The sequence below is a fragment of the Homo sapiens genome, chromosome 16, assembly GCF_000001405.40.
Source record: "Homo sapiens chromosome 16, GRCh38.p14 Primary Assembly".
NCBI classification, from domain to species: domain Eukaryota; kingdom Metazoa; phylum Chordata; class Mammalia; order Primates; family Hominidae; genus Homo; species Homo sapiens.
This window is the reverse complement of record NC_000016.10, coordinates 79,609,801-79,629,327: the sequence shown is the minus strand read 5'-3', so window position 1 is coordinate 79,629,327 and position 19,527 is coordinate 79,609,801. Positions and strand designations below refer to the sequence as shown.

The 19,527-nt window shown below is 42.8% G+C and overlaps 1 annotated feature.

Annotated features, from left to right (window-relative positions):
• Positions 443-542: a silencer, noted in NCBI's record as "silent region_7737". NCBI's record gives its function as "represses an Ori minimal core promoter by ATAC-STARR-seq in GM12878 lymphoblastoid cells {active_cell/tissue: GM12878}" and the evidence as "EXISTENCE:reporter gene assay evidence [ECO:0000049][PMID:35858748]".

Sequence of the window (19,527 nt, the reverse complement as noted above, 5' to 3'; positions counted from 1 at the left end):
AATTTTAAAGAAGTTTAGCTGCAGGTATTTTAAGTTTGGAGACCCCAAAAGGAAAGCCTGCTAAGCCTGGAGCTTTGCAAAGCCCTAGAGCTGAGAGAAACAGGGACGTTCCATGCTAGGAATTGTGCAATCAAAAGCAAGGCAATCGCAAGCGTGGGGTATATAAGGAGAAAATGCAAGTTGCTCAATTTTGTGAAAGAAAGCATATAAATTGGAGAGTTTGTAGAGTAATTTGGCCATGTTTGTGGCCAAATTACTCTACAAACTCATAATTTGGCAAAGATCTTGAGGCTTACGAATGACACAGGGCACATGTGCATCTGTCCCCAACTCTGCTGGGATGTCTTCCCTGCTAGACACACAATTCAGTGTAGAAGCCAGTTTGCTCTGCTTGTTTTAGCATCTGAAGGTACCAGCTGACCCAGCCAGGTGTTGACCCTGCATTTAAGCTGACTGTGTTTAAACCTTCAAAGTATCTACTGTTCAATCCATGAAGCGTTCAGAGGATGGTGGTTTGGGGCTATTGAGAAAGTGTCTCTTTCCACTCTCTAATTTGCATGCTGGATGTCTATTGAAAGTTGCTATGGTGATCCGTTTGACCAGAAGTTTCCGCTGAATCATCCCAACACATATATAAAAACATAAGTGTGGTTTGAGGACCCAGAGCCCAGCAGCCAGGGGAGATGTCTCCATTCTTCACTTGTGACTCACTTGTGGTCATGCGTAGGCCCAGCTGTGAGGAAGGTGAAACCTCCGGGTCAGGTGTAGCTCCCAGGAGAGGTTTAGCCCAGCAGGACACAGTGAAATTGCCCCTGGGGAACCTGAAGACCCCAGAAGGAAATGGAAGCCTGCACTCGGGCAGGGCCTTGCCCCACTGGGTCCTTCTGCAGCTGCAGGTATTCTAAGTAAATGTCTCAGTTTGGAGACTCCAAAAGGAAAGTGTGCAATAACCATGTATGTTCAGGTAGTTTATCTGGGGGCTGAACCAAGAAAGTAGAAGGGAAGGAGAGGCGATTCTGAGAGAGCAAGAAGGAAAAGCCACTAGAAGGATGTGCTGTCCGGGGGGCTGCTGTGGGCAGAGATCTGCTTTAGGGACAGCTTCTAGAGGAATTGGTGACAAAACACAGAGACTTGGAGCAGGCTGACCAGAGTTCAAATCTTCTGTGTGCATATTGCAGGGCCTAGAGGCCTTGCTGCTGGCCCCGGCAAATCTTAGCCTTGAGATTGACTTCTCTATGCATAGAACTGGAGGAAAGAATACCTTGTGAGGCATAAACAAAGGATGTACACAATGGAGCCCAAAGCAGAATCTAGTATATCCTCAGTCAATGTAGGTTTCTTTCTATCTTCTCTTCATGAAAGAGATTCAGCTAAACATGATCTACTATTCTTGGCTGTGGACCAGGCACCATAGCTTATGGCTGAGTCGTTAATTTATACAACTAACGATTTAAACAGGACTCCCAAAAGATGCCCTTCAACTTCTCTTTTGAAGTGAACTGGATTTGGGATTTGTTGTTCCTTATGTGACATATGTACTATGTAACTAGGTGAACACGCATATGGTTATCTTTACAGATAAACGAATGTAGATATGTATAGAGAGTTGCCTAATTAGTCCCTTGTTTGCTACTTGGGAGACTTTTGGGAGAAGCCCCTGGGTTTGAACAAGAATTCAGAGAAGTCAAGGGAAAAAATTCCAAGGCTGGCTGTTAAGATGCTATTAAGGGAGAGATACTGTTTTTCAAATTGATGTAGATTTTTAAAAAGTGTGCATCACATTACATTAGCAACAGTATAGAAAACAGATGCAACTTATCTAGAAAATAATTTTGTCATATCAAATCCCTAAAATATTTATACCTTTTTGCCTAGCAGTCCAAAGTTTTTATATTTGTCTTAGGGAAGTGATCAGATATTCAGCAATTGTGTATACGGATATGGATCAAAGCAGTTGGTGTATTACTGAAAAATTGGAAAGGATCTTAATGTCCCCAAATAAGCAAAATAATCAAATACATTAGTTTTATAATCACGTGATTAACTTTTATGTGGCCTATAAAGACATGCTTTCAAAGAGTATTTAATGACTCAGAATTAAATACTCTTGGATTGGTATATTTTGAAGTAGAAAGTAGGATATAAAACACCTTATAGATGTAGGATATAAATGGTACACTCAATTTGATCCCAGTTGTCTTAAAAATATTTTTAATTATACATTTGCATACTTGTGTAAATGTGTTTGTATATGCATTCCAATAAATAACTTGAAGGAAAATACTATGGGCAACCACTGTATCTAAGTTATCATCACTCATATCTTTATTGTCCTTTTTTGTACTTTCTAAGTTTTCTGTAATAAACAAAAAGTACTGTCATAATCAGAAAAATAAGTAAAAAATTTGATGTATAAAAATGCCAAAGAAGGCAAATTTTAGAATCCTGGTCATCTTTCATTAGCAAAATACTTCTTCAAAATGCAGTTGGATCTGCCCCAAAAAGGTGAGGGGAGCTGCACTGTGGTTACAGGAAAACCCGCTTTGATGCATGGCCTCTGACCCCAAGGAAGGCACAGTGAGGAAGACAGCCGGGTGGATGTGGCAGGAAGGGATTTGTAATCACCTTGAATGACAGCTGTCAGAAGACCGCGTGAAGGGTTGGTTAGTCTCCTGAAAACTCAGAGTGTCTGGTCCATTACAGTGCCTGCTGTCACTTCCGACCTTTGAGGATGCGTCTTTGACTGTGCAGAGAGGTTGAAAACTAGAATCTCCTAACCTCCTGACCTTAATATCTTCTCTGAATTCTCTCCTTTGATGGCACCTCCATTCCCACACTCCCTCCCTCTTCTCTTGTGGCCCCAAGTCTATGTTCTCCAGCTGGGACCTTTCTCAGGAACTCTAGTCCTGCATTCCCAACAGATCATAGAACTTAGCTGACCAGGTGCCTTGTGAGTTAAGGAGGTGACAGCAGGCACTGTCACCTTAACAGAACTCTCCTGTATGGCCCAGACGCATTTCTTCTCCTGCCTTCTTTTTACATCAGTGAGAAAATTTTTCTTGAGTCATGGATGACTTTGAGAGTTTGAGGGAGTTCATGAGACCCTTGCAGTAGGAGTGTGTGCATGATATCAGTTCATTTGGGGGCCCTTGAAGACCCTAACAGTCCTGACACTTCAGGTTAATGATCCTGCTTCAGACCAGCCTGCTTTCCACAGTAGCTGATAGAAACTGAGCACTTATTACTTGCCAGGCACTGTGCGGGGCATATTGCATGTATTATCTCATTAAACATTTGCAACAACTGAGTTGTCAACAAAGAAGCTGAGGTCTAGGGAGAGCATATTCATTTGCCCAAAATAACACAGTTGGTTTCTAGCAGGCTGAATTTGAACCCTCATCTAACTCAGACCACTGAAACTCTCAACCACTCTACTTGTAGCATCTGTTTGATGCACACTACCCCCACAATCAGAGGTGTTCATTGAGTGTTTACCAGTATCTCCAGCTTCTCAGAAACTGGCCTGAAAAATATTCTTTCTCACACAACTGATTTCCAACCTAGGCATCCAAGCAGAGATGCCTCTGACTGCTAAATATTGATTTTATTTCTGGGCCAAATAATATCATTATAATAGTTCCAGAAATTAAAACAGAAAAACGAATGAATAAGAAGCTCACAATGCTTGCACCACCCTGGACTGGATAAATTTTTTAGGGTTACCTACTGGTTGTCCATACAAATAGGGTCGCACCTTACTGAAAACTTTGAAATTTACTTGCGTCAAACTTTGAAATCTGAGTCAGCAGGGTTTCCACCCCTGTAGCCTCCCATGGTGCTTTGGAGCTAGTCAAAAGGAAGGCTGAGGACCTCTGAAAGCCACCCACATGGCTGCTACCTGAGTACCTGCCCCCCAGGTAGCATCACCATCCATGGGAATGAAGGAAAACATTTTCATAAAAATCCCTTCTGTAAATTAGCCATGAGTTGTAAAGGAAATTGCCAACAGTGTTTTGATGTTGCAAAGACAAAATGAGTTTAGACATTAAAAAATAATAATAATAATAATAATAATAAACCCTGTGATTCCTTCCCCACCTTGTTAATGGGAAACTACTTTGGTCATCATTCATACATTCATTTGTCCAATCAGTTTGTCAGCTGCAATTCTGAGTGCTGAATGTGGGCTACAGACCATCAAGGGTGCAAAGAACACAAGATGAATTTAGGCATCGTCCCGTCCTCAATAAACTCCCTAACTAAAGGCAGAGAGAAATGCTTAAAGAAGTAATTACAGCCCAGGACTGTCAGTTTTTGGATAGACGTAAGTCAAGGAGCCGTCAGGGCAGGAAGGAAGCATATCCAGGTTGGCCTGAGGAGTCAGAGAAAGATTCCCAGAGGAGGTGAGAGTGGAGCTGCATCCTGAAGGCCATTGTGCCGTGCAGTTCACCAGAAGTACAAGCAGGAGGAACAACATGAAGATGAACAGAAGTGAGAGAAAGAAGGCACACCCTGGGATCTGCAAGGATTCGAGGGGCTGGGAGCCATGTGCTGCAGAAGGGGAGCAAGGGTGCAGAGCCAGTGGAGGTGCTGGTGGGACCTGACTGTGAGCCTTCCTATGTGCACGTTAGAGGGTTTGGACTGAGACACGATAAGGTTTACATTTTACAACATATTTTTGATTTTTTTTTTTTTTGACCATGAAAGCCACGGATGAGGGAAAATTTGGAGAGAGATATTGGATGGATCAGACATGAGTTGAGAGGCAGTATTCCCTGGGTAAGAGATGAGAAAGAAGTCCATCACCTAAGAGGTGGCTGTGAGCATCAGATAGACTTCAGAGGCAAAGCACTGGGAGATTTAAAGGTGAGAAGATGAGAACTCTTCATTCATTCATTCATTCATTCATTCATTCATTCATTCTGCCATCTGACCAGGTCATTCAGTACTTGCTATATGCTAGGCATTGCGCTAGGCACACGGGAAAAAATGGTGAGCAAGAAATATCCCTACGTTCGGAGCTTACAGTCTCATGATGGAGACATCCACTGAGACAGCAAACGCTTTCTGTAAAGAACCAAACAGCAATTATTTTAAGCTTTATTTATCTTGCAGTCTTTGTTGCCGCTGCTACTGGTGTTCCTCCCCTTTTTTTCCTCCCTCTTCTCCTCCTTCTTCTAAAAAAAAAAAAAAAAATCTTAAAGTACAAAAAAAATGTTCTTTGCTCAGAAGGCTGTACTAAAACAGGGTCAAGAGTGCAAATAGGATTCAGGAAAATGATGCTGGGAGGAAGTAGAGAGAATGTGCAAAGTCTCTGGGATGGGGTCAAGTATGAGAGGCAGAAGAAGAAAACTAGCAAGGCTGGAACAGACAGCCACATGGGTGTGGCTCAAACAGATGCTGGAGCCAGAGTCAGGGACTGGATTTTAAATGTAAGAAGAAAAGATAACCGAATGTGCATTCAAAATATAACATCCACCATTTTAAAATGTGGTCAGCTAAGGATACAGGGAAGAGAAAGCAAAAGGAAATAAGAGGTGAAAGAAACTAGGACGACTGGGAAAACATAAGCACACAGAAAAGCAAGCAGAGAGATTGACGCAGAGTGGGAGAAATGACCACCCTTCCCACCTCCTGGGGTCCTTATGGCGATTCAAGAAGGTGATGTAATTAAATTGTTTACAGCAGTGGCGGGCATTTAGTAGATGCTCTATAACCATCAATTATTAGAACAAATTCAGTGTACAATCCATAGTGGGTTCTAAATAGACTTTTGTGGAATGGGTGAGTGAGTGGAATCGGGAGCGAACGTACGAATGAATAAGCAAAAAGAAAAAACATTCAGCAATGAAAGTTCCTGTTTTGGAGGGCAGAGGAAGTCATCGAGGGACATCTCCAACAGCGAGGGGCCATTCTGATATGAATTCCATCAATCCACACGAAGTGAGGATTCAATTAATACAGCTACTAAATAAGGTTTCATCCTGCAGTGTGAGGGCACCTAGGGCACGTCATCTGAGCCTGGCTTCTCTGCTCGGGAGTGCATCCAACGCCAAGACCCGAGGCAGTCTGGCTGGCAATTAGAGCCAAAAAAGCAAAATTCTGTCTCTAAGCACTTTCCCCCGTTAAGCTACAAATTGTTCTTAGGATCTTTGTGTTTCTCTAACACAGGATCTGTGCTAAATACCCAGCTCCCTTCCCACTGTGGGAGGGGACAAGAGGTGGGCACCGGCATGGATCCTGACAGGAGGGAGTTTGGTGATTCTGCCCTTAAAGGCTCCAGTGTTTAAAATCTTAACAGTCATCTGAATGCCGTCGCATCGTTACGTCAAGCAGCTCTCATACCTGCAAAATAACCCAGGCACTAAAGAGAAACAGAACTAAGGTGGACACTGGAGTCTGATGGATGGAGGCATGCCTGGAAAACTCACAAGAACCCCTGGACTCCAGACCCCCTCCAAAGGGCTTTTATAACTTCCTGAATATGCTTTAGCGTTGGGTTTTAATTAAACATTTAATATGCATCATGCAAATTTATTGATTCTGCCAAGGAGGAAAAGATGAATCTTGTACTTAGACATCTCCAGCTAAGATCACTCATATTTTCACGGGAGTTATTAATGGAGCCTCCAACCCCACTTCCGAAGTTTGAACACCGCTGCAGGAGCAGGGGAGCACCCTGGATCTGGAAAGTCACTGGCTCAGTGCAATTGTGTTCATTTCTGCTTCTCAGGTTGAGTCCTAAGGCTGGATGGAGAGAGGTACAAGTTGTTGAAATGAACATGAAACACTTGAAAATGGACCCTATTTGTCATAGGGGCTCTTTCTGTTCTCCGTTCCTGTTGCTCTGACTACCGTGAAGTTCTGATCCTGGGAAAGGATGCCCCAAGTAACCCAGAAAAATACTTCGACGAAATGGTTCCTTACAGGGCAAGATCTTACCATCTACCTGACCCAGGATGGTTGGGAATCTCATCAAGTTCATATTAATCGACCAAAATTCTGGAAGAACGGGGAATCTGATAGACTAAATACTCTCATTAACTGCAAATTAATCATAAAACCCTTTTGAATTTTTAACAATATCGTTAAAATTCCTTCTAAATTAATACTGGTCTCATTTCCCAACTTATTACAGGGTTATCAGACAAAAGTCTCTCTCTGGCGAGCAGGGATTGGAAAATACCCTGGGCTATTCTAAGCACCAATATTCATTGAACAAGACAATAGCTGTAGAGCAGTGGTTCTCAACTGGGTGATTTTGTCCCCCAAGGACATTTGGCAATGTCTAAACACATTTTTGGTTGTCACAACATGTGGAGAGTGGTTGCTAATCACAGGGTAGAGGCCAGAGATGCTGCTAAACACCCTACAATTTACAGAACAGGCCCCCCCACCACAATCATCCAGCTTTAATGTCAACGGTGCTAAGGTTGAGAAACTGCCACACAGAGATAGAAGAGGGTCTGTAATATATTAGCTAATCATCTAGAACAAAGATTAAAAACAAACCCAAAACCCTCTAATATAAGAATCTGGTAGGGACTCTGCTATTAACCAGTTCTGTGGCCTTGAGCAGGTTAATACACTGAGCATATTGAATTCAATTTGTTCACTCATTCATTTAACCAGCTTTTTAAAAAATGCTGTGTTCCAATCTAGGCAGATGAAAGAAAATAATTGATATGCACAAAGGTTTAATGCAGGAAAGAGGCAATGTCCAAAGAAGACCAGAGTGACTGAAAAATAATCAGAATGGAGTGCAAAGCAGACGACTTCTGGACCTTGTAGATCCTAGTGAGAAGCTGAGCTTCTATTCCAGGTGTGATGAACAATTACAGACAGTCAGTCACATGACACAGTTTATGTTTTAATGCCAGCTTACTAGACAGTACCATGCTCTTCTTATTCACTATATAAGCTCTGAAAGTGTCTGTTGGGTGAGAGACTCTGTTCCCTGCTGCTGTGGTGAGAAGACTTGACCAGAAGGAGAGGACAACACTGGAGGCAAAGAGAACAATCAAAAGGCTATTGCACGGTCTCCAGACAAAGATGGAAAAGACAGAAGACAGTCAAGCCATTTCTCAGATGATTAAACATAAAGTTACCATGTGACCCAGCAATTCTGCTCCCAGCTATACCCAAGAGGAATAGAAATACACCCCCACACAAAAGCTCATACATGAATTTTCATAGCAGCATCATTCAAAATAGCCAAAAGGTATAAACAACCCAACTGTCCATCCACAGATAAATGGATCAACAAAATATGCTGTATCCATACAATGGAATATTATTTGGTCACAAAAAGAAATAAAGTTCCATTATAAGCTACAACATGAATGAACCGCAAAAACATGATAAACATAATATTAAGTGAAAGAGGCCAGTCACAAAGGACTGCATATTGCATGATTCATTTACAGAAAAGAATTGATATTTATCCATTTATATACTTACTTGGGGATTTGAATGGATGGAAGATAAGATACTATCCCTGTTTTCATTTATAGGAAAAGTCCTGAATTGGCATATCTCTAGAGACACAAATCAGATTGGTGGTTGCCCATGGCCAGGAAGAAGGTGAAATGGGAGTAACTGCTAACCAGCAGGGCGATTTGGGTGGGGGTGATAGAAATGCTCTGAGTTTCCATAGTGGTGGTGGCTGCACAACACTCTGAATATGTTTTAAGAAACTGAATTTTATACTTAGGACAAAAGGATTGTATAGTATCTGAATTATAGCTCAAAAAAGTTGTTTTTTAAAAAGGTGGTGCATGCACTAAGATGGGTGAGGATACATTCAGGGTGTAACCCACAGAGCTTAGGGGCTGGTGGGATGAGAGAGGAGGGAAAGAGCAATGGAGATCACCTGACGGTTTCTCCATGATGCTGCTGTCCTTACTCTTGACAATTATATTTGGTATCACCTGCATGCATGATGATTTTTTCAAAATCTGCCTCTTTCTTCTAATTGAAGTGTAAGGGGGAAAAAAGGCTTGTGGATGGCTTCCTTAGATAAATCAAAAAGCTTTCTTTTTGAGGAGTCTTTTTACTCCAAATTGCCAGAAGACTGTGACCTTTAACCCCAGGAATGCTGATGGAGCAAGCTAAGGTCTACAAAGCATTGAACATTCGATGGATTTTGCATAGAAAGGATGAGTACAATTTAAGGTTGATGGCTTCCTCAGGCAGTAATTAACGCATGGAGAGAGAATCATGGTGTTTCCTTGACTTAGACACTTTTATTAGTTTTTTATACCCATACAAGTGTGACTTCTGGTAAAGTCAGTCAAAAACAAAAAGAACATTCTTTTGTGCAGATAAGAAGTGAAGATGGGGGGAGAAAAGACCCAGGAACACATAATTCATCAGCACTAGATATCAAGTTTTCCTTGTGTCATTTTTTTGGGGAGGTGGAACTTTAATCGAGTTTAAATTATACTGACAAATAATGAACATGCTTCCATCCTCACGAGAGTTTTCAAGGCTGGAGCAGAAGTCGACCTTCCTCATTTAATTCTGGGACAAGGAAATCTCCCTGTTGACCTTACGGGCCACCCAAGAAACACACCCTGTTATACTCACAACAATATCTAATTTCCAAAGTAATTGACTACACGTATTTATCCATTTATATACTTAATTGGGGATTTGAATAGATGGAATATAAGACACTATCCCTGTCTTCAAAGAGCTCATAGATGTATGACAGATGTAAGACAAATAGGCAATGGTAAACTCCGTAAAAGAAGTATTCAAGGGGTAGTGTGGGAAGCATGAGTTCATTCAGAAGTAGGCATATTACAGAAGTGTCTCTGAAGAAATTATGTGAGTTAGAATGCTCTTAGCTGCAAGTAACAAAACACAGAGCTTGCAAAATGAAATATTTATCTTACTCAGAGATCTGTAGGTGAGGGGAAATTCCAGATTGGATGCCCTGGCTGGACGCTGTCTTCAAGGACCCCTCGGTTCCTGTTACCCTGCTGGGCCATATTCAGTAGATCATCTTCTGACCCTTGGGGTTCTATCAAATGGGTGCAAGGTGTGGCTGTTACTGACTAGCAATGTGTACTATTAACTACCTTTATTAAGATGCCAGTGGCCTCTTATAGGATGCTCATATAAACTATGCTTTGGGACTACTGGAAAGTACAATTACTGACTTGGGTCACTATTTCCTTTTCTTCTCTTCCAACAGCATCTAAAGTCTGCACTAGAATTAAAGAACCTGAGGTTATTCTCTTGGGATTTCACAAGGCTTAGGTTAGCCCTCAAGTCAGATCATTCAAGAGCCAAGTGGTTTTGGTGGCTCTGGGCCCTGAACCAGACCCCTCCATTGGCCCTGGCTTCCCATCAGAGGAGACAGAGAGGAGGCGGGTTTTGTTTTCCAAGCCTGCATCGCCGCCCTCGCACTGTGCAGTCATTTTGGCTCCTTGGTGTAGGAGGATGCTTACCGCAGGCTGGTCTGAGCCCCAGGCTCCTCACCCCACAACACTCCCCCGCAGTCCACAGCCCCCTGGGTGACTTGATGCCTGGGGAGGCTTCATGGTTCAGGCTGTGCTTCGCAGATGCTCCTCCTTTCCAGGCCCTGGTTCTCCCATCTCCTTGGCAGGTGGCCCATCATGGTTGCCCAACAGTGGATCTGTGCTTTGTATCTCCCTGATCAAGCAAAGATGGGGTGCATGAATCAAAGAAGAACTCAAAGCCATGGTCTCCCCTGCCATCCTAGAGCCCCTCCCAACTTCCTGGTTGCTGACTGGAGACCACAGCTGGGCTTAGAGGCCCAGAGGAGCTAGCTGCCAAGTCATTCCATCTGAAATACCAGCTTGTGACCAGCAAACTGAACAAATTTAATACAGAAGTCACCGAGAGAGAATAAATAGGGAACCCTGTGGACTATGTCATCTTCACCGGGCAACTTTTCCATTACTCTCAGACTTCAACCCAATTAGAACCTGGCTAATTAGTTTTGTGCACTGCACAACAGTTGGAGAAAAAGGTCACTTTGGTATATAATTTTCTTTCTCTTTCTAAGCCACAGAACTTCCTGCAAGGAACAAGCATTAACCTCCATTTCTCAGAAGCAAAACAAGCCAAGTCACACATTTCTATGAATTCTCTCAGTGAACCAATGATTAGTAATAATAGCAGTAGCTGCATCTATTTGTTGAGTGCAGGTGCCTGACTCCACAGATCTCGCATGTCATGGAGCCCCCCCGAGACATGGGGAGCCTGTTTCTTATATAAGTAACCTATGTCCCACTGAGGATAAGGAAAACAGGCGATGCACTCTCACAGAAGAATATAGACAGAGGTCAGGAATGCAGAGAGCTTGCCCTGGCCCTACCAACCCCATCAGAGCTTGGGCAAGACTTTTTCTTTCTCAGTGGAGATCTCCAAGAACTTTATAAAATAATGAGTAGCTATAACAGTAAAATATATGTTGGTGGATGATTTAATTGAAACTAAGTATTTCTGCAACAAGAAAGATACTCCGGCAAGGACGATGGGGCCTCCCACCACACACAGACACACACACACACACACACACACACACACACAAGCAACAAGCATCACTTGGTGTCTACCATGTGCTAGGCAGCCTGTGAGGCACTGCCAACATTCTTGGTCATAAAAATGGCTTCAAAAGATATGGATAGAATTGCAGACTTTTAGGATGCAAGTTCAGTGTTCCTTGACATAGCCCAGATGAAAAAAGAGAAGCTTACACAGTTGAAACAATTCTCCCCAAATCCTTTAAAGGTTAGATCCATTAGAGAGACTGATAATATCAGAGGGTTAATTAAGACAAGGCCTCAGCACTGACTCCCTTCACACAATAAGAACAGCCCAATCCCTGAGTATGTTGGTGGGAATTATTCCTCGAGCCTTAATGTTATGTAAGGATATATGCACTTAACTTCAGCCTTAACTACTTCATCTGAACTTCAGAACACAGCTCATTACCCTGATCAGCTCTGCTGCAATTCCTGCTACCCATCTCAGTGTCCCTGCTCTCTGTGCCTAGGAGACAGCAGCAGGGGCACAATTTTAAGCACTGGCTTTATTTTCTCCTGAATCTTTGCTCCTGCTCTTTCATTGGTTCAGTGTGCCTTCTCCCTCCTTGACTTCTGGTTCCATAACCTAAGAACCCTGTCTAAAATTTGTATAGACAAGAATTTTGCAATAGGGACACTTTCAGTTATGACATATCCCTGTATTTGAAGAAACTGGGTGACCAGCCGGTGAGATTTTATTTCTAATAGCTGGAGGAGAGCCCCTGGTGCAGAATGATGGGAGTGTTCACTGGAAGCTCACCTGGCACACTCTGTTGTTTCAGGTGAGCACATGGATCCCCCAACTGGTTCAGGATACACCTTTAGACCTTGAAGAGAGTATTCAGTTCCATGCAAACCAGTTGGTTCTCATGGAACAACAGGGAGACCAATGAGAATGAGAACATGGACCCAACTCCTATCTGTGAGATGTGTTCCAGCACCATGAGGCCTTGTGAATGCTTAGTGAAGTGCTTAGGAGAAATTGTATTCCTTCTCATGTGAAACTGAATAATCATAGTGCATTCCATACATGATACAAGGCCCTAGAGATCTAAATAGATACCAGTGAGGAAAATATTTTATATTTATATCTATATATGTGTATATATATATATATATATATATGTGTATATATATACACACACACACAAACACATATATTATATGTGAAAGATAATTACATATGATGTGAGATTAATATATAGTATATATTTATTTATAAATATAAGCCTAGAAAGAGAGAGATGTGTCTCCCATGAGAGTTTCACTTCTGGAAAACACAAACATAAAAAATTAACTGCTGGCTAGGGGTCAGTATTGACTCCCTTCACACAATGAGAACAGCCCAATCCCTGAATATATTGGCAGGAGTTATTCCTCAACCCTATACATTATGTAAGTATATATGTGCGTAACTCCAGCCTTAACTACTCCATCCCAGTGAACTTCAGAACACAGCCCAGCACTCCGATCTGTTATTTCAGATGAGCACATGGGTCCCTCAGCTAGCTCAACACACCTTTAGACCCTGCAGAGAGTATTAAATTCCATGCAAATGAGTTGGTTCTCATGAAACAACAGGGAGACCAATGAGAATGAGAGCATGGACCCAACTCCTATCTGTGAGATGTGTTCCAGCACCATGAGGCCTTGTGAAAGTTTAGTGACATGGTAGAGGGTGGAAGGTCATCTCCACAAAAACAGCTTAACTTTCCGTTCAGATGTTCGTTTGTTTCCTACTTAATGCAGAAAGAAAATAACAAATAACATTGGTTCTTGTTACCAATAGGCTATTCCACATATATTCTAAGGGGTCCATGTGTCTAAGAGGCAAAAACATGTTAGTGTCTGGAAGATATTGCAGAGAAGCTCAAAAAGCCACCTTGTTTTAGTGTCCTTTTACATGTTCTCTGAAACTAGTAAAAAATGCTGTTGGACTGTACACCTAAAAATGGATGGATGGCTAGATGATGGATGGATGGATGAATATATGGAATGATATATGGATGAATAACAGGATTTTTTAATCCCTTTATCCCCCAGACTATTACAAAGCCTGACATACAACAAGCTTTTAATAAGTAAAGAACAGACATGTAGCTCTGATATCTTAATAATAGATCAGCTGGTCACTGGCCTTTCAAGACCTGGGCTTGGAGAAAATTCAACCGCATCTGACACATGTTGGTATCTGTTCATTCATCAAAACCTAGAGATTCTGATGTTGCATGCATGGCTTCATGTGTCTCATAAGAGCATGACCATTATATGGGGTAATTTGAAGAGCATTGCTACTCTAAGATACTTTCTGAAAACTCTACCACTAGTAGGATGAAATTCAGGAGCGGGGCAAGGAACCAATGAAAGCCTTCTTCCTTCCAAGTCTGTCATGAGAGGGTCTAGAGAAGAAAAATCCTGATACTCTGTCTGAGCACCCAAATTGCTTGCTCAAGTCACTCTCCTCTGCAGGCCTGATATGTCCCCATGTCCTGAATCCTTCCCAGATACAACGGAGGCTGACCCCTGACCAGGTGAAGCCTCATACAGGTCAAGTGTGTGATGAATTCTCGATTTCCAAATAAATTAACCTCAAACTCCCCATATACATGGAATGATGACACAAAAGGAACCACACTGAGACCACAAAATAAAAGCCTGGTGTTTGTGCCTGGTCTTGCACAGAAATCTGTTCCCTCTGGGGTTTGCATGAGTAGGTGGTTTTTAAAGGTAATACAAAGCCATAGTTACCACCAGGATTTTCATAGTCCCATAGAGGAAAAAGTCCTGTAATGTTGTATCTTCTTAGTGCTTTGTGCCTTGGAATGTTTTTCTCTCCCTCCTGGCCAAAACTTTTCTACAAAGTATCCCGGATCTACTCTCTTTCTCTGGTAGAATTTGAATCGATTTCATAGGAATTTACAGGACCCCTAGGAGCCAGGTGCTGGTTTGAGTTTGCTGGAACCAAGACACAGAGATTAAACATAAGGCTTCTGCTTCAAAACACTCGCAAAATCATGAGAGAAATAGGTAAGTAAGAAGACAGTGACAAAAGGGTGGCATGAGGAAGCCTTGTGATGGAAATGCCGTGTATCTTGACTGTGGAAATGCTGATTGTGATCACAGGAATTGATGCATGTGATAAGACTGCACAGAATGAAATCACACACACACAAGTGCATGTAAAACTGGTGAAATCTGTGTAAGTTGGGTACATTATAACAATGTCAATTTCCTGGTTGTGCTATTGCAGTCATTTTGCAAAATGTCAATGCTGGGAGAGAATGGGTGAAGGGTACACAGGAGCCGTCTGTATTATTCCTTACAACTGCACGTGAATCTACAATTACCCCAAAATTTAAAAAATTAAAATACATATATAATTACAATGTACAATCACCAATGCCATGCCAGTGGGCCCTGAGAGCAGAGTGGAGATACATCATCCCACTTAGATAAGAAAGTAGTAGTCAAAGAAGGGCCTCTCAAGGAAGGAGAGAAGTCTCAGCTATCAGTGTGAGTTAGCTAGGCTGAAAAGGTGGGGAGGAGGAAAGGATGCACCAGGCTGGAGGAAGCCCAGACCCGCAGGCACCATGGCTGGGTTGATAGTATGACCCTTGAGGCAGGTGAAAAGTGCAGTGTGGACAGCGTCCCTCACCCTGCCCCAGCAAGCCAGCTCTCCCACCATTCTGCTGCTACCTCCTTGGGCTCAGGCCACTCCTTTTAGACCTAAAATAAGGCCTGTTTTCATCTGTAACAGAACCCCCTTCTGCCTCCTCCCTTTTACAGGTCATTTGTTTGTTGAAGAAAGCAGAACATTCGTCTTAGAGAAGTTCCCAAATTATCCATTTGAATTATGGCTTCATAATAGGGTCTGCATCATTTCTCTATCGCCTGCATTTCCTGTAAGCTGGTAGTTTTACTATTACCATGACCATAATCATCATCACTATTACATTACTACCAAATCATCCCAATGTTATTGGAAAGGTAAAAATGTAGGCAATAGAGTGATAGCTTCTAGAAGTTTCATTTCTCTTTCAAATAACTTTTTTTTTTTTTTGAGATGGAGTCTCACTCTGTCGCCCAGGCTGGATGGAGTGCAGTGGCATGATCTCGGCTCACTGCAACCTCTGCCTCCTGGGTTCACGCCATTCTCCTGCCTCAGCCTCCCAAGTAGCTGAGAATACAGGCACCTGCCACCACGCCCGGTTAATTTTTTTGTATTTTTAGTAGAGATGGGGTTTCACTGTGTTAACCAGGATGGTCTCGATCTCCTGACCTTGTGATCCACCCGCCTCGGCCTCCCAAAGTGCTGGGATTACAGGCGTGAGCCACTGTGCCAGACCTCAAATAACTTTAAACCAAATCTTTCCTCCCCATGACATAGAAAATAGACAGCAACCTCATTGGTGCTTAAGTTTAGAAAGAGACTCTAGTACAAAGAGTATGTGCAGACTTGTGCAATGGCCAAGAAGAACCAGCACTGTAATTGCATTCAGCTCACAGAGTTTTTGGAAACAGATCTTTCTGACGGTAACTTCCAATAAAGTTGGTGGGTGTTACATTAATGACTAGACTCTTAGTCACCTCAAAGGAATGAAAATCAGATGACACCAGGATGGTGGAGGGAGGGGAGATATTAGCAATTCTGATTACAGATATGAATGTAATTTCAGGGGCGTTTTATAATTGCTTTTATGCTTTGATTAAGTGCCTCACGTAATACTGGGCTACAAGATGGGACGCTGGAGAGACACAAGGAAACCCAAGATTATTTACTAGCCTTAATGCCAGTGCCCTGAGAAGGCCGAAGAGGGCATATGTTTGATCATCAAATGCAACACAAAACCTTTACTTCTCAGCTTGCCCTGTGTGCTTTAACACTCACAAACAACCTGCAAACACACTGCTGCATATGTGTGTAGCAAATACCAGTTTACGGTTAGTTATAGAAATTCCCAAAGAATTAAGGGCATTTTCTAAAAAGGTTAAGGGGTGGAGGTGTCGGGGACTGGTAATAAGTCCAAAAGCTCTGTATCATCTGCATTTGCCATCTCATTCCTATTCCACCTGTCTGTAAAACAGATTTGCTCAGATCTTTTCTACCAGTGGAAAGGTTTTGGAAACAGTCCTTTCAAATAATGTCTGTCCAGTAAGATAGGCTTAAGGACACAGGTTCAGGCTAACATCTTTAAACACCCACCACCATTGGAAACCAGAGAACGAGACTTCTAGAAATTACAGTTCACCTGATTTTTCCTTTAACTTCCTCCTTTAATGATTTGCTATTCTTGTGAAACCAAAACAAACAAGAATGTTATAATAATGATGTTGCGATGACAGAAGCAATCTTCTTGGATCTAAGGATTCACACTGTGCCCATAAAATGAGTCACTTGGTCAGCTGGTCAACACTCACTCAACAGCTCCCTAAGACACACTCACAACAGATGTTTTAGGGATAGATACAAAGATGGACCATTTACCAGTGTTTGCCATGATACCATATGATATGATATGATATATGTTACTATATTATATAGTAATATACTATATTATATGATACTATACTATATCATATTACATTACATCGTAATATATTATATGTTACTTATCTGTTTTGTTACCTTTCATTTCTTGACTGGCTCCCTCCTACAATACATAATAAAGGAAAGGAGTTGTGTGTGCAAACTTTGCAGCCATGCCTGGATTTACATCTTGTACTACACCTGCTATGTGGCCCTGGAAAAGCCCTCTAAGGCAGTGCCTAAGGGGAAACTAAGGGGGTACCTTAGTAACATCCTCCATCAAATGTAAATAACAGCAGCACATATCTGATAGGGTTGCTGTGACAATCTGATAAGTTAAAACTAAGGGCAAGGCCCAGGTGAATATCATGTCTGAGTTGGCTGTTAGTAATGCTGCCATTTAATGCTGGGTTCCTCAGTGTCGCCCTGGGTGATGGCATTTCCATCACACTCAGACAGGCTCAGAGAATTCTCCAGGCCCCTGTCCCATACCATATCTGAGTCCAAGTCTCAGCCAATTAGATATTTCATCTCTTTGCCACAGGGGTGGGCTCGGGGATGAGCCTATAAGCAGTCAAATGAACTAGACCCATGCAACCCAAACCGCGACTTTGAGCGCCCTACTGGGGCCTCCAACTGACTCCCATGAACTCAGCATAGGAGGATTAAAGGCTGGAACTACTACAATTATCACACTCTTATGCAGAGCCCTGGTCTGGAGTCCACACAGATGGAAGGAAGCCAGTTCCAATGACACTATATGACCCCTGATCCCAACTAGTCCTGTCCCTAGATTTTGGGCCATGCAAGCCAATGAGAATCCTTTTTGCTTAAACAAATTCAGGTCAAATTTTGTTCACTTGCAACCCAAAGAGGCTGAATTGACATTCCATTATACAGATGAAGATAATGAGACTCAAAAAGCACGTCGAGAACTCTTCTAAGATCACACAATCAGCAAGGTGATACTCTACCTGTTGGATACATTGTGAGGCTCCCAAAGAGAGGTCGAACTACAACTGTGAGGATACAGGAATGAAAGGTAGGAGCGCAGGAGGGCTTCTGGAGCTGGGGGCTTAGTATTAGCATCAAACTTTTACTAATGGATGCCCGACACTCTGCTCTGAGCTTCAGGTGCAACGTCACATCTCATATGAGCTGTGCCTGGAAGAATGGGCATGATTTGGGTATGTGGAAATGAGGGCGGGCCTTGCATTCTTATCTGAAGCTTACAAAATAGTGTCTGTGTGCCTTGAAGTCCTGGGAAAAGCAGCTGTGACTCAAAGCTGCACCAGGGCTCTCTCTAGCAGCAGCAGGCAGTGCTGGAATAGGATGCCCCACTTACACTCAGCCACTTAATCCCAAGCCTCCCTTCCTCCAAAAACCAATCCCAGCAAGATTTGACTGCAGCCCACTTCAGTTCCAGAGCTCGCATATCTCAACCATGTTGTCCACTCAATGCCAGCTAAGGGATATAGGCTAATGAGTGAGCAAGATAAGCATCCTGGTAATTGAAAGATGGGCCAATCAGACTAGTGAGAGGCGAAGGTAAGAAGTGCTGTGTTGCAACACAGGAGCCAGCCACCCTGTCCCTTTCAAAGTCATGTTTTCTGGGACATTTGACAGGACATTCTGTGTAGGTTCAAGCCTCAAAAAAAGAAGCCAGGAATCAGACAGTGTGATCATGTTCACTGAAGAAACATTTATGGAGCGCTTACTGTATGCTGAGCTCTGTAGCAGGTGAAGGAGATGGAGAGATGAGAGGCGGTGTCCCTGGCTTTAAGCAGTTCACAGGTGGGTAGGAACTCCTGGGGCACTGTGAGGACTCAAACACAAACCAGCAGACAGAGTGGGCACCTGGCCTGCCTTGGGGGCCAGTGGGCAAAGAGAACACAAGTAAGGCTTTTAAGAGGAAATGCAAGACCTGAAGAAGAGTCAAAATTAGCCAGGAAATAAAGCAGAGGGCAGGGAAAGTGGGAAGAGGGAGCAAAATCGTGCAAAGACTTAGGAGAGAAGGAGAGAAAGAGGACAGGTTACGAGGTAAATACAACTTTAAGGCAGGAGCAGAGCAGAGAGAAGAGGGGAAACTATTGTTATTTCTCAAGTTCCTTCTATGCCCTGGGCCCCATACTGTAAAATGACGTGTATAGAGTGTGGGCAGAGTCCCTGGCACATGTTAACAGAGCCTGCTCTTTTGAGCGTTCGCTCGGGGCAGGCACCATGCCAAACACTTGGTATACATGCTCATCATGATCACAAGATTCCTGTCTACCTCTCACTAAGAAAAAGACGGGTTCAGAGAGGTCAGCTAATTTGCCCAAGGTCTTACACCTGGGGCAGAGCAGGATTTACATCCTCATTTTGGCATCAGGCACCTCCAGGGTATGTCTCCCTGCCCAGTGATCCTCCTCACTGTGCTGCCACCAAAGGCTCTGAACA